Below are 14835 nucleotides of genomic sequence, written 5' to 3'. Positions count from 1 at the left end.
GGATGGATTCCAAGTATATGATCTTTACAACATATACACGTAAAGTACAAGGATAGAGAAGGCCAAAAGTGAAAGTATATTATGCCGACATTAATAAAAGGAAAGCTAGTGCAGTCCTATTTGGCCATACAAAATACACATTACCACATTGTTCCATTTGTGTGAATGTTTAAAGCAATTATTCTTGCTTAAAAATATATACACAGGTATTATGCTTATGGGCAAAGGCAGGGAAAAGGATAATCCCAAATATCAGCAAGGTGGTACTCATAAGAAGGTCAGGGAGGGTGGGAAACAAAGAGGGGTTCTAAGATTCCTGGGGTGCCCGCATGTTCTATTTCTCAGCATAACAGATGATCACACAATGTGAATGGTAAGTATATTTCTGATAACACAAACATGGAAAAATATTGCAAGCTAGGAAATGTCTGATCTTCTGATAGTCATCTTTTCTTAAATTTTTTGAAGAAAAAATAATTTTCTTTAAGGAGATTATGACAAAAAGTTAATAAAAACTCATCCTTCTTACCAAAAATCTTGATAGATTTGACAACATCACAGTGGAAAATATCACCAGGCTCAGTGGCTCATGCCTGTAATCCCAGCACTTTGGGAGAGTGAGGCAGGAGGATCACTTGAGCCCAGGTGTTTGGAACGAGTCTGGCAATGTAGTGAGACCCTGTCTCTACAAAAAGAAAAAAAAGTTAGTGGGCATGGAAGCACACACCTGTGGTCCTAGCTACTTGGAAGGCTGAGATGGGATGATCGCTTGAGCCCAGGAGTTCAAGAAGAGCCTGGGCAACATAGTAAGAACCCATCTCTACAAAAAATAAACAAAAATGAGTTGGGCATGGTGGCAGGTGCCTGTGGTCCCAGCTACTCAGGAGGCTGAGATGGGAGGATCACTTGTGCCCTGGAGGTTGAGACTGCAGTGAGCTGAGATCATGACACTGCAGTCCAGCATGGGTGACAGAGTGAGACTTTGTCTCAAAAAAAAAAAAAAAGAAAAAAAATATACACACACACACACACACACACACACACACATATATATATGCACCAATAATGTGAGACCCCATGAAATCGCGTATACATCCAGTCTCTGTTTCCCACTCTGTCAAATGAGAATTATTAACCAAACCTCTCTTAGGTTGGTTATGAAGATTAAATGAGGCATATATAGAAAAGCACAGCCCTGAGTCTGGAACTTGGGGAGCTTCAGTGAATGTCCATCTCTTTCCTAAACCCTTATCCGAGAGGAGATCCAGGCACGGACTTGCTACTTAAAGCGTGGTCCAAGAGCCAGCAACATCAGCATAATCTGGAACTTCAGAAAAATACCTTGTTCTTCCCTGTCCCTTAGCCAGGCCGGTACTACAATTCAAAAGAATGATCCTTAGCTCAACAAGAGGAGTGAGAGGAAAAGCACAGCGATAAGTCTCTTTCCCTGGCCTCTCCTTCCCAAAAGGGACCCAGCCTTTTCGAAGCCTCTCTGACTTAGGTGCCCCGCTGGCCTACAGCTCAGAACCGTGTGCTTGTAAATTCGTGTCCATGGCAGAGTTGGGAGTTTCCTGAACTCAGAGCACAGTTGTGGTGCAGAACCATGGACAGCGCCAACCCTGGGCTAGTTGTTCCCCAAATCGGGCATGGCGGGTGGAGCGCCCCCTGGGAGCAGAACTCTGTCCTGTCTCAAATGCAGAGGTAAGAAGGTTGGAAAGCAGAGTTGGTTACATTCTGTGCTGCAGGACAGAGGTGCTGGTCAGAGGACATTCAAACTCCTCCTCAGTCTTCTTCTGAAGTCCCCCTCATTTTAGGGAAGAGAAGACTTAACTTCAGAGAGATGGTGCATTTCTCACAGGCCACTGGGATCCTTGCCTCTCTGGGCTGACTCTGCCCTCACTCCTTCCAGGAAACCTTCTATGTGGTAGGCTCCATCTCTTCCTCCCTTCCTTTTCCAGTGAGTTGATAATTTGCTCTTGCTTTGAATCCCTTATTTGTCCTGTCATGGTGTTCTGAAAAACAGAACATGATATGTGATCCTTTTCCATACCTGACTCTGTGCCAAATCCTGAATCAGCTCAAATGAAGGAATGAAGGATCTATTAGAAGGCTGGTTGTGAAGTTATATTTGGAGCTGAGGGGTCACAGAAATAAATTCTAAGTTTTCCTTCATTCTACATGAATAGTAAGTGTTTAGACTAGGAAAAGGATCCTGGGGCCTCAGTGGACCACAGGATGGAGAGAGTTGTCATGAAGGGCAGAACAGGCAAGGCAATGTCAGGGTAAAATGGATGTGCGTTAAGGAGGGAGAGATCTGATAAATACTGTGAAGATGGGAGGCCCATAGGGCTGGAGGAACTGTCAAGAAGTCAAAACTCACACTGAAGGTGTGAGTGAAGGGCTTATCAGAAACCTGAGAATAAGCGAGGAGACATACAAAAATTCAGTGACTTTCTGAACTCAAATTGACACCAGAAAAACCACAAACATCACAGTCGAGTGTGAAGCTGGAGCCAGGGCCTCAGTTCTGAGTCACCGTCTCTGACCATGAAGGGCCCCCCTTGCAGGTGAGTTTCAGTTCCACCTTCTCGTGACTTCTTGTGTGATGGGTGGAGGGGCAGAAGATTCAGTTTCAGGGCTCCTACACTCTTCTGCTCTGAGAGAGATCTCCGAGTTCCAAGTGAACAGAGAAGAGGTGGGGCATGCCCCATTCATTTTCTGAGGAGAGGTAGGAATGGATGCCTGGAGGAGGCAACATCTGAGTGAGGAATGAGATGGCAGGGGGCACTGAACAGGTTATCAGTAGGCCTGGGGTAAAAGGAGGTCAGCTTTCACTTCCCTGGTAGTTGTTTGAGGGAAGAGGACTCCTAACAGAGAGAGGAACTTGGAGCAGCTCAATCCAGGAAAAGTCTCTAGCTGTGCTCTTTCTGTAGCTGCCTTGATCTCCAGGTAGAAGAGACTCATCAGGCGATGTCAGGAGTCCCAGACTCACCCCCCTCCAAACCCAAGATGCTGCTGTTGCCCCTGCTGTGCAGGTGCAGGGACAAGAGGATTGCAGGAAATGTGACTTCACAGAAGGTCCTTCGTCATCATTTTGGGGTACAGCTTGGAGAAATATGCAGGATAGAAGCTGCAGGTCTGAGATTTGAAGATGTGGTACAGGACAAACTGCCTCTGTATTCTCATGCTTTGATCTCTCATCTTGAAATTTTTGTGTTTACTCTAGAAGAGCCTATGTCTTTTGGTTTGTGGAAGAGGTCAACATTTCCATTTCCATGATCCTCCTATTTCCACAAATAGACCAGGTCAAAAGCTGCAGAAGAGACACCAAGAACCGTAGGCTGATTCCACCTCCTTGGGGACCTTCACTGAGCAACAGAGATGCCAAGAAGGAGGGGAGCATGACATTTTTCCCTCATGAGGAGAAGACTTTTAGTGAGATATTGTCACAAATAGAAAACATAACCTCTAAATGTGAAAGGTAGAGTACTACTCTACTTACAGAGAGCTTAGGTGTTCCCGTGTCCCATATCTGAGCACCTCTCATCCTTGAGGGCCAGTTGCGAGTTTGGAGGCCTCAGAGAAGGTAGATTTGCCATTGCCTTCTTCTTTCACATTTTAGACTCTGTTATGTTTGGTACTGGAGGATCCAGGTGAGGATGGCCCCCTTCCAGAACCAATAGCCACGAACTGGATCTGGGTCCATCTGGGGATCCTGGAGTGAGAAAAGTGCAAGGTGCAAGCTCTTCTGATCATCACAACCACAATAAGTGTGTGTGGGGGTGGAGGGAGGTGTGTCTCAGGGTGACCCATTCCCAGTAACAGTTCTTGGGTGTCCTATATCCTCAGCAGGCTCTGACATGGGGAAGTCAGAGCCCCATTGCACCCAGATTCCAGGATACCTAGGATGTGAATGTCAGGTGTCTGGGTCAGCACTTGCAGGGAGAGGGAGGACCTGGGGAACAGAGGAGGGTATGGTACCAGGAGTGGCCTGTGGATCAGCCCCGAGCTGGGTCCTCTGCTTTCAGCTCAGGGTCCTTCATGTCTTCCACAACCCAATCCTTTGGATGAAACAGGTTGCTGATTCCAAGCATAGACTGAAAAGCTAAGTAGAACATTTGAATCTCATGGGGATAGAATGATAAAAGTTATGGCTGAGGGCTTGCCAAGGAAAAAGGGCCATGGTAAACACTGTAGTGCTGTGGTTGGGACCTTGTAGAGTAAGGATGAGTTGGAACTAGATGATACCTCATAAGGATTAAAGCCAGACCAAATTTCCTCAATATCTGATCAAATTGAAGTGGTCGGCTTGCCACAAGCAACAGTAAATATGCCCTGAAGAAGGATAATGTGACCCAGAGCTTAAAATTATCTCCATAGGTTTTCATCACTCCACCAGACAAGAGTGTGGCCAGGGAAACAGCAGCCAAGAGTTTTATGAGAATAGAGCGCTCACTAGAGGACCTAGAACTTAATGCAAATGTGGTAGAGCTGGAAAGTGATGCTTTGGAGAAGGCAGGATGATCATGAGAGCATCATTAAGCAGTTCCATTGAAGAACAGGTGTGGGTAGGCAAGACAGAGCGTGCAGGGATATATGAAAAGCCAAGTATGCCCATTGTTACCATGGGACCCCCAAAGGGGGATCTCAGAAAGTTCTATGGAAAACTGTTGCCTGCGTAGCTACTACCTCTGTAAGCACACAGCCAAGCAGGTGGTGGTAGATTTGAGGCTGGTGTTGGTCATCCCCAGGGCTGGCAATTGGGAAGATGGCCTGCATGTGGAGCAAAGCAGGGAAAACTGCCTAATACATTATGCTATTTTATAGTTGTTTACAGCAGGAGGGTAAGTCTGGTACTAGTTACTCCATTCTGCCTGGTTATTATTATTAATCACATTCACAATTTTAATGGTTCTTTTAAAAATGTAATCCAATACAATGGTGAAACTCTCCATTTTAGCATCTGTTTTTACGTGATGACAATTAAAGTCCATACCTAAAACTCATATCTAGAACACCTGTAAATACATCTGTGCTTGATGCCCAGCCTCTTGGTATTCAACAATTTTGTCATATCTCCTGGCATGCTTGTCAACTTTTTAATTTTTAGTTGAATTTCTAGTATTTTGTTTGAAAAACTGCAGAGATTTTTTTGAGCTCTGACTGAAATTTTCCTCCTCTGGATTCTAGTACAGTCTAGAACAGCACTGTGCGATGGAACTTTCATGACGATGGAGGCATTGTGTCTGCATTGTTCAATATGGTGGTAAGGAGCACTTGAAAGGTGTTTAGGGTGACTGAGGACTTAATCCTTAATTTTATTTTAATTAATTTAAAGATAAATCGGCTCATGTGGCTAGGGCTACCCTATTTTTGCTTTCTGGCAAGTGGAATAGGGACAGATCCCTTAAGCCAGCCCCAGGCTGAGTGAGTTTGAAGATGGGTTTTGGTCTTTTTGTGGGCAGGTCTACTCCCAGTTGACCCATATTTTTTGGCGGGGGGGACGGAGTCTCACTCTGTTTCCCAGGCTGGAGTGCAGTGGCGCGATCTCAGCTCACTGCAAGCTCCACCTCCTGAGTTCACGCCATTCTCCTGCCTCAGCCTCCTGAGTAGCTAGGACTACAGGCGCCCGCCACCACGCCCGGCTAATTTTTTGTATTTTTAGTAGAGACAGGGTTTCACCGTGTTAGCCAGGATGGTCTCGATCTCCTGACCGCGTGATCCGCCCACCTTGGCCTCCCAAAGTGCTGGGATTACAGGTGTGAGCCACTGCGCCCGGCCGACCCTTACTTTTAATCTGTAACCCTTCTTGAGTTCTAATGGAAGGTTTGGGGTGTTTACTGGGCCTCTCCTTATCAGACCCGGAACATCAAATTTGGCTTACCCAGTTCCATCAGACTGCTGAGAGGAGAGTTTAAACATGTTGGGCTCACCTCAGTGATCTTCCCTTCCTTCCAGGGTTTTGGTCCCTCAAGTCCTGTCTACCTTGGTAGCACCAGGCTCCATGATCTATTTGTATTTATTTAATTTTATTAATTTTTTTTTTTGTAGAGACAGGGTCTCTGTATGTTGCCCAGGCTGGCCTCAAACTCCTGAGCTCAAGAGATCCTCTCACGTTGGCACCCCAAAGTGCTGGGATTATAGGCATGAGCCACTGCACCTGGCCACCATGATTTCTGTCTCCAGCCCCAGCCATAACACTGCTGAAAGCTCAACTCAGGTTCCCATCTTCTTATCCTCTGCTTTCTGCTTGCTTCCTTAGCCTTTTGGCCCCTCCAGGAGAATGAGCTTCCCTTTTCTCTGCGATCCTGGCCAACTTGGTAGCTCTCCAATGTCATCAGATTGTTTTTGTGTGTGTATGTGTGTACTGTTTTTCCATTTGGTCTCAGTCTTAGTGTGGAAGTGTTGTTCTGACATTAGCTTCTCTATCATGGCTAGAAACCTCGCTTGCTTTGTTTGATCTCTGCCCCAAAGTCACCTTCTCAAAGAGGCCCTGGCCTTTCAAACTAAAATAACAGCTCTTTACACCTTTTCCCTTTATGTTATTTCTTATCTACAGCACTAATTATCTGACATTATATAGGTGTCTTTCCCACAAGGCCCTAAGTTCCATGAAAGACTCTGTCTTTTTTCTCTCACCAGTGCCTAGAACAGCCCCTGCACACATTAGGTGCTCAATAAGTGTTTCTTGGATGAATAATGCTGTTATTGTCCGATGGGGAGAGAGGTCTGGTCTTTGCCCTTAATGATCAGTCTAATTAGGGAGAGCATAACCCAAAACGGTGGGAAGGCCACAGAGTCAGGACAGGACCTATGGGTGGGGGACCTATGGGGTGGGGTTTGGGAGATCCCTACGCCCTGGACTGGGTGGGAGGGGAGAATCAGGAAGGTCCTCTTTCTGTAAGGACCCTGGAGGGTTTGAGCAGGCAGATGGGAAAGGGAAGGCATTCCTGACTAGGGAGGCAAGCCAGCAAAGCTCGGAGGTGGGACTGAGAACACCAAATCTCCCACAGGTTAGGCAGGAAGTTTCTGGGCCTCACTCCTTTCAGGACCAGCTGAGCAGCAATCCTGAAACTAAAAGCTCCCTGGTGGCCAAACCTTAATATGAACAACCAAGTTACTGAATCCTCCCAAGAGTACCCTGATGTCGGGGGAGTGGAGAGGGAGGGTTGCTTCTATTTTCAGAGGAGGAAATAGAAGGTCAGAAGAGTTAAGCGGCGATTCAGGCTCGCGCAGCTCTGCCTTCAGAGCTTGAGAGGTCTGCAAAGCCCACCAGCCCCTCCTTACCTATGACAAGAGACGGCAAGGGAGATTCAGGTGGTGATGGATGAGGACAGGATAGCATGGGGGAAAGGCAATCCCAAAATCTCTGACAGCTCTGGAGCCAGGCCAACCTGGTGGGAGCCCCCAGGTCAGTTACTGCGGCTCAGGCTACTGCCAGTGAGGCCGTGGAGGAGACGAAATGAGGGTGCAGCACGCGCTGCACACGAAGCGCTGGAAGGGAGGCATCGTGACGGGGGCTGTGAATGGCGTGTGTCCATCAAGTCACGTCACTCCGCTTACCCCACTGCGGGCAAACAGGAAACATCAGGAATCTGGTGCTCAAGGAGGGTCAGGACCATGCTGAGCGCACCCAGAACCAGCAGAGAACTGGGCAGGAGGTCCCCAACCAACCCCCACTCGCTCAGGAATCACAAGGTGTTCAGCCCCCTCCTCCCTGAGATCCAGGAGTCCACGACCCCAGGCCCTCCTTCCTCAGCCACAGATGCCTGGGGTCCCCAGCCCCACTTCCTCTAGCCCTAGTCCTGGTCCTCTCCTCTCTCAGACCTAGGATGGCCCCCCAGCCCCCTCCTCCCTCAGAGCCAGAAGGCCAGCTCGAGACCCTTCCTCCCTGAGACCCCGAAGTCTGGGGTCCCAGCTTCAGGGTTTCAGGTCACTGGGCCCCCATCCCCCTCCCACCTCACATGGAAGGCCAGGTAAGGTAACGGGTTTATTCACAGTGTCATTTACAGGCAGACCTCACCCGGGCGCGTCGGATCCCGGCGGGAGGCCCGGAGTCGCTAGAAGGTGGGGACGGTCTCGGAAGTGGGGGCCCGGGCCGGATCCCCGGGCGTCCCCGGCGTCGCCTCCTCGTCCAGCCCCCGGCGGCCCTTGCCGATGGCCAGGCGGGGCCGACCGCGGTTCAGGCCGTCCAGGAGGGAGCAGGCCTGGCAGAGCGCGCGGCTGGCCAGCGCCCCACAGCGGGGGCAGGCGCCGGGGCGCGGGGGCCGCGCGGCCGAGGCCAGCGCCAGGCGTTCGGCCGAGTGCACCAGGTCCAGCACCGCCGACGGCCGCGGCGCCTCCAGGCGCTTGAGCAGGTCCCGGGCGCTCCTCTCTTCTGAGAAGTAGTCGAGGCGGCGGAAGTGCCCGTACGGCACCACCTCCTGCGAGGCGAACTGCAGCGGGCGGCAGCGCGGAAGGGCACCCCCCTAGCCCGGAGAGCCCAGGCCCCCGCCCCGGGCCAGCCGCCCCGCAGGAAGTTCATGAGCACGGTGTCCACCATGTCGTCGGCGTTGTGACCTGGTGGGGAGAGACGGGAGAGGGTGAGGTGCGGCGCGGAGGGCGCTGCTGGCCAGGGAGCCCCTCGAGGAACCAAGGGTCCACCAGGACCCAGAGAGAGACTGGGAGGGGAGACCCACGGAGACCCAGGGCACAGTGGGGCCGCCAGGTCCCAGAGAGAGAGACGGCGACGGGGAGAGCGAGCCATGGAGACCTCCGAACAATGTGCAACAGCCAGGATCCAGAGACAGAGAGGGGGAGACAGAGCCATGGAGACCCCTGGGACACTGTGGGTAACCAGGACCCAGAGAGAGACGGGGAAGGGAGACCCAGGGCACAGCGGGGCCGCCAGGACCCAAGACAGAGAGGGGCAGGGGGAGGGGGAACAGATACTGATGGGGAAACCGGACCATGGAGACTCCCGGGCACCATGGAGCAACCAGAAGGAGACTGGAGGTGGACAGAAAACCTGAAGGGAACACAAACAAGCTCCTTGGGGGGAGCCCTCATTTGCCATCCACCTACTGTATACCAAGCCCTTCGCTAGCTCTCTTTCCACATAGCGGGTAAAAGTGCTTTAAGCTGCAAACACCATTTCAGCCTCAGTTAAAACTGTATTTCAGACTACACAGGAGAAAAAAGGGCCATCTAATGGGGATTCTCAAGAGAGCTGTAGACACAAGTGTCTCTGGGAATGCAGATCACGCGATTTACAAAGACCAGAAAGAAAGTTAATGAATACATACACACCAGTCGCCATACAATTTAAATGGAAACTACGTTTATTCTGCATTTTGTCATCTTATACTTGAGTCTGTATATTAAAATGCTGTTCTTCTTCGGGCTTCTCAAGTTGGTCATATTTCCCCTCCTCAAGGCCTTTGCCTCTCTGTGACCTCAGCTCAGAACACCCCCCGCCCAAACTCCAACTCATCCTTCACCTGGTTATTCACTGAGCCTTCGGGTCTCAGTTCACTCAGGAAACGTTTCCTTAATCCCCACCTTTTCCCCGCCACTAGTACCCCCTGATATAAATTCACACATTCTGTGTAATTTTCCGTAGTAGCACTCGTCAGGTTATAATTACATTCGTGAGAATCAGGCAGGAGCAGAGACTGTCTTGTGCTCTTGTGGATCATCATAACAGCAAACATTTACATCATGTTTACTGTTTTTCAGCCTCTAGTCTGAGTGCTTTATATATAACTCATCTAATTCCCAACTCAAGGACCCAGATATTATTAACATCCCCATTTTACAAAAGATGAAACGGAGGTTAAGTAATTTGCTCTAGGCTACACAGCTTGTATCTGGTATTTAGTCAATGGACGATGATTACTTATTGAAGTAATCATTGAGAGAAAATAAGAGTTGTCAGAGAGAAACCTATAAAGAAAAGGAGTTAAGAGACACAGTAGCATTTCAGACTGTGTGACTTTCGATGAGAGACACCTCTTCACATCTCTCTTTGTGAAGGGAGATACAAAGTCATTTCCCTCTACTAAAAATAGAAAAATTACCCAGGTGTGGTGGCAGGCACCTGTAAGCCCAGCTACTCAGGAGACTGAGGTAGGAGAATCGTTTTAACCTGGCACACGGAGGTTGCAGTGAGCCTAGACTGCACCACTGCGCTCCATCCTAGGTGACATAGTGAGACTCCATCTCAAAATAATAATAATAATAATAATAATGATAGCAGAGTATTCCAGCCTTAGCTCCTACAAGGTAGCCCCTCTACCTGCCAATGTGTGTACCAATGTGTCCAGAATTGGTTCCTTCCCCTGGGTTCTTGGTCTCGCTGACTTCAGGAGTGAAACCGCAGACCTTCGCAGTGTTACAGCTCATAAAGGTAGTGCGGACCCAAAGAGCGAGCTGCAGCAAGATTTATTGTGAAGAGCAAAAGCACAAATCTCCCACAGCGTGGGAGGGGACCCAAATGAGTTGCCGCTGCAGGCTCGGTGGCTAGCTTTTATTCCCTTATTTGGCCCCACCCACATTCTGCTGATTGGTCCATTTTACAGAGCACTGATTGGTTCATTTTACAGAGCGCTGATTGGTCCATTTTACAGAGTGCTTATTGGTCTGGTTTTACAGAGTGCTGATTGGTCTGGTTTTATAGAGTGCTGATTGGTGCGTTTACAAACCTTTAGCTAGACACAGAGCACTGATTGGTGTGTTTACAATCTTTTAGCTGGACGGAAAAGTTCTCCAAGTGCCCACCTGACCCAGAAGCCCAGCCAGCTTCATCTCTCACTAAGATGATGTCAGAGACCCAGAGGCTTGAAAAACCTGCCTTACTCCATCGTAGGGAGCCACACGTACTACCCACATGAGCCTTCAGTAGGCTCCGGCCCTAAATAGGCACATGCGTATTTCCCCAGCTCCTTACTGGGATCCTCCCGCTAAGCCACGCCCGATGCCCTTGTCTACAGCCATGAGCTGCAGTAAGATGCCCAGGCCCGGTGCCAGCGTGCGCAGCACGTGTGCCAGCACCGTGGAATCCTTGCCGCCCGAGGTGCCCAGGGCCACCACTGCGCCTGGCGGCAGCAGGTAGCCCACAAGCACCATGTGCTGCACCTCCGCCTCGAAGGCGGTGCAGAAGCAGGAACCGCACAGCACTTGGCCCGAGCATGGACGGCGGAGGGAGGCGCATGCCACGTGGCAGGAGGCACATGACGGGGCGGGCATTGCAAGAAGGGACAGCTTCTCCTAGACCGGGAGAGGAGGCGGGTTACACATGTTTCATTGCCTTTGAGGAGTTCCCTAGATAGTGCCCCTGCCTGGAATAGACCAGGGGCAGCTGTGGCTGCTGCTCTTATATACGTGGGTTATAAATGGGTTCTGGTGTAAGAAGGCCACTGCCTCCAGGAAGGCTTCCTGGACTGCACCCATTATGCACCAAGAAGAGAAGGAACTTAAGCTGATTTCAGGGGGAAAAAGAGGGAGCAACAAGCAGGTTATACCCAGAATTAGATCGTGTCCTGTCCAAAGGGGTGAGGGCGTCTATTAAGGACCAGTTGTAACAACTTCCAGGAGGCCACCCATGTTACAGCCCTGATCAGAAGGTAGATATTACTGACTATTCAGAGAGATTGGGAGGGGAGGGGTCAGAGACTCTTAAGGACAGAGGGAGGTCATGCTCTGTTCAAGGGAAGGGGGCTATACAGAAAAGACCAATTGGATTTCACTTTCAGGGGTCGGGGTGGGCATTCTGTCTCCAGGAATGGGTCCTGATTGTGTCTTACAAGGACATACACAGGCAGGCTAGATCAACCTCTAGGGAGACTAGCAGGGGTTGCACCTATTTTTGAGGTGAGGGTGTGTAGGCCTCCAGTTCTGAACTTAACCCCGCTCTGGTATCAGAATCCACCTAAGCTTCTGTGGCCCCCGAAAGACACAGAGAGGTTGGGAGGGGAGGGGTCAGTGATGGGGTTGGCTCATCCTTGGCCCCCAACTGTTCTCTTTCCTACCTCATCCCTCCCCACCCAGCCAAGACTCTAACTGTCCCATCGAACCTCCTTCGTCCCACTTGTCTGGTGAACCCATAAAAACTCCCCAGGCTTAGTCCCCCTCCTCAAGCCACCACCACCTCCAGCCTGCACTACTGCCGTCACATCCTTGCCATTCAGAGCAGGTCACGCTGCTTCTAGGATTTACCACAATGTGTGGAATTATTTCATATGACTGTGTATTTACCGTCTCTAACTTACATGCAAGTAAAGACCAGTGCCACTCAGATGTCTAATAAGCATCTCAAAACCCAAATTCCTGATTCCTCTAACCTAACGGGCTTCTCCTGGAGTACAGGGCAGCTCCATCCCTTCCAGCTGCTCAGGCCAGAAGCTTTGGGGTCCAGGACCCTGGACTGCTCTTTCTATCACTACAGTTGTCACTCTCCCAGTGGGTGGAGCCAAATTGCAATGCTAAGTCCGGACCCTTTCAAACTCCAGGTGCTCAAATGAAAAGTCACACATATTGTTTGACTATAGCTTCAAAACAGCCAAACACTTCTGACCATCTCCATGGCAGCACCCTAGTCAGGTCTGCCTCTCTCCTAGATGGCTGCAGGGGGCTCCTCACAGGTCTCCATGCTCCCTGCCTTGCCTCCTCCACACACACTCCTTCATATAACAGCCAGTGGGATCCTGCCCTGCATCTCATCTCACTTTAGTAACTACTGGCTGGGCACAGTGGCTCACGCCTGTAATCCCAGGACTTTGGGAAGCCGAAGCGGGTGGATCACAAGGTCAGGAGTTCAAGACCAGTCTGGCCAAGATGGTGAAACCCTGTCTCTACTAAAAATACAAAAAAATTAGCTGGGCATGGTGGTGGGCACCTGTAATCCCAGCTACTTGGGAGGCTGAGGCAGAGAATTGCTTGAACCTGGGAGGCGGAGGTTGCAGTGAGCCGAGATCGTGCCATTGCACTCCAGCCTGGGTGACAGAGCGAGACTCTGTCTCAAAAAAACAAAAAACAAAATGTAACTGCTAATGGCCGACGAGGCCCTACAGGCTCTGGCTCCTTGTTTCTCTGTCCTCATCTCCTTCCACTCTCCTTCTTGCTTACTGGTGTCTACTCTTGAGTACCCCCAGGAACACTCTTGTCTCTAGTTGTTTTCACTGGCTCTTCTCTTTGCCCAAAGCACTCTTCCCTGTCACTGAGCCATCAAGCAGCCCTCAGGACTCAACTGCGGTGATGTCAGGTACATCTGTCACAGCGGAGCAAAGTCCCCTTTGAAATACTTTCTCCCACAGCTTTTGATTTAGTCCTCCCTCTTTGTTCTTGTTTTTTGCCTCCTGCTTAATATCTTCTGGGGAGGCCTCTTCACAGTCCTCATATCCTGCCCATCACCCCTCTTCTCATTCTGTTTGTGGGTGACTCTGAATCGCAATGTCCACCAGCCTGGCCCTCCAAATGCCCCACGGAAGATCCCATCTAGGCCTCTCATATCTCAGTGCCCAACTGACCAGCTCTCACACCCCAAGGCAGAAACTTACCTAACCAAGCTCCCCGTCTCCCGGAAGCAACACCACCTTTCACCCAGCTTCTCTATGGAAGACAACTCAGCTTTTTCAACCTCTGAATCTGCAGTCACCTAGTACTGGGGTTCACTTCCTGAGGTCCTTATCAGATCCAGTTGCATCCCTGTTTTAGTTACCTACTCACCTCAGCCAGATGAACTTCCCATTGGTTTTTCAACCCCTTGCATCTTTGGCCAGGCTGATCTCATTGCGCAAGACACTTCCCTAAACACTGTGGTAGACCTAACTCTTACCTTCAAGTCTCAGCTCAAACTTTCATTCATTCATTTAACAAATACCCACTGAGTGCCGCCTATGTACCCAGCATGCTCTAGGTACTGGGACACAGCAGTGAGCAAGATAGGAAAGGTTGCAGCTGTCAGGGCACTGATGTTCTAATGGAGGAACCAGGCCATGGATAAGGAAGTAAATGACTAAGATGCTTTCCAAATACGAGGGAATTATCTTTGGTGGTATGACTGGGGGGGGGGGAACAGGGAGGGGGTTCTTTAGGGTGGCTGGAGGCCTTTGAGCTGAGGCCAACAAAATGAGTAGACAGATATTGGGTCAGGGTGGGAAGAATGCTCCAAATTGAGTTAATAGCAAATGCAAAGGACATGAAGGGCAGGGCCTGGCTGTGTTCAGCCCATTGGAAAGTGTGTTGTGACTGAGGACGACCAGAAAGGACCAGAAGCTTAGAGGTTGGCAGGATAAGGAGCTTGGATTTTATTCTGAGATGGGAACCACTGGATGATTTTAAGCTGGGGGGCAGGGTAGTGACTGGTGACAGGATCTGATTTATATTTCCACAGGCTTCCTGGCACTGTGCCTGAATAGAGGGTGGAGTGTGGCAAGGGAAGAAACAGAACAGTGAGGAGGCCCCTGCAGTGATGCAGGTGAGGAGTAACGGTAGCTCGGAGCAGAATGGAGACAGTGGAAGTGGAGAGAAGTGGTTAGATTCTGGGCCTCTTCTGGAGATAGAGACGATGAGACTCACACAAGATTTGGTTGCGGGAGGGAAGCGGATGAGAGAAACAGAACACTGGCGACCATTCCAAGATTTTGGCTTGAGCACTTGGATGGACAGTTAGTGGGGAGGAGGCAGAAAGATTGTGAGAGGAGCAGGTTTAGGACAGGGAATCTGGGATTTCGTTTGGATGTGGTAGATTTGAGGTCCTTTGCTCTGTAAGGTCTTTCCTGAACCCTGGGCTGGGTCTAGCACCTCCTCTGTGTTCCCACAGCCTCCTGAGCACCCCCTGGGCCAGCCCTGACCACT

The 14835-nt window shown here is 50.1% G+C and overlaps 1 pseudogene, besides 3 other annotated features; it reads right to left on the bottom strand.

The window, feature by feature from the left end:
- Positions 2357-2716: an enhancer, noted in NCBI's record as "active region_15025". NCBI's record gives its function as "activates an Ori minimal core promoter by ATAC-STARR-seq in GM12878 lymphoblastoid cells {active_cell/tissue: GM12878}" and the evidence as "EXISTENCE:reporter gene assay evidence [ECO:0000049][PMID:35858748]".
- On the bottom strand, positions 7866-11260 carry LOC339352 (cytosolic thiouridylase subunit 1 homolog (S. pombe) pseudogene; annotated as a pseudogene).
- Positions 14473-14640: a silencer, noted in NCBI's record as "fragment chr19:52098383-52098550 (GRCh37/hg19 assembly coordinates)". NCBI's record gives its function as "represses an EF-1alpha promoter that drives an FKBP-Casp9 reporter gene in an ReSE screen in phorbol 12-myristate 13-acetate-treated (for megakaryocytic differentiation) K562 erythroleukemia cells {active_cell/tissue: K562(+PMA)}" and the evidence as "EXISTENCE:reporter gene assay evidence [ECO:0000049][PMID:32094911]".
- Positions 14723-14772: an enhancer, noted in NCBI's record as "active region_15024". NCBI's record gives its function as "activates an Ori minimal core promoter by ATAC-STARR-seq in GM12878 lymphoblastoid cells {active_cell/tissue: GM12878}" and the evidence as "EXISTENCE:reporter gene assay evidence [ECO:0000049][PMID:35858748]".

Source organism: Homo sapiens, chromosome 19 (assembly GCF_000001405.40).
Source record: "Homo sapiens chromosome 19, GRCh38.p14 Primary Assembly".
In the NCBI taxonomy this organism is placed as follows: domain Eukaryota; kingdom Metazoa; phylum Chordata; class Mammalia; order Primates; family Hominidae; genus Homo; species Homo sapiens.
Note: the sequence above shows the minus strand (reverse complement) of the source record. Positions and strands in the feature narration are given on the sequence as shown.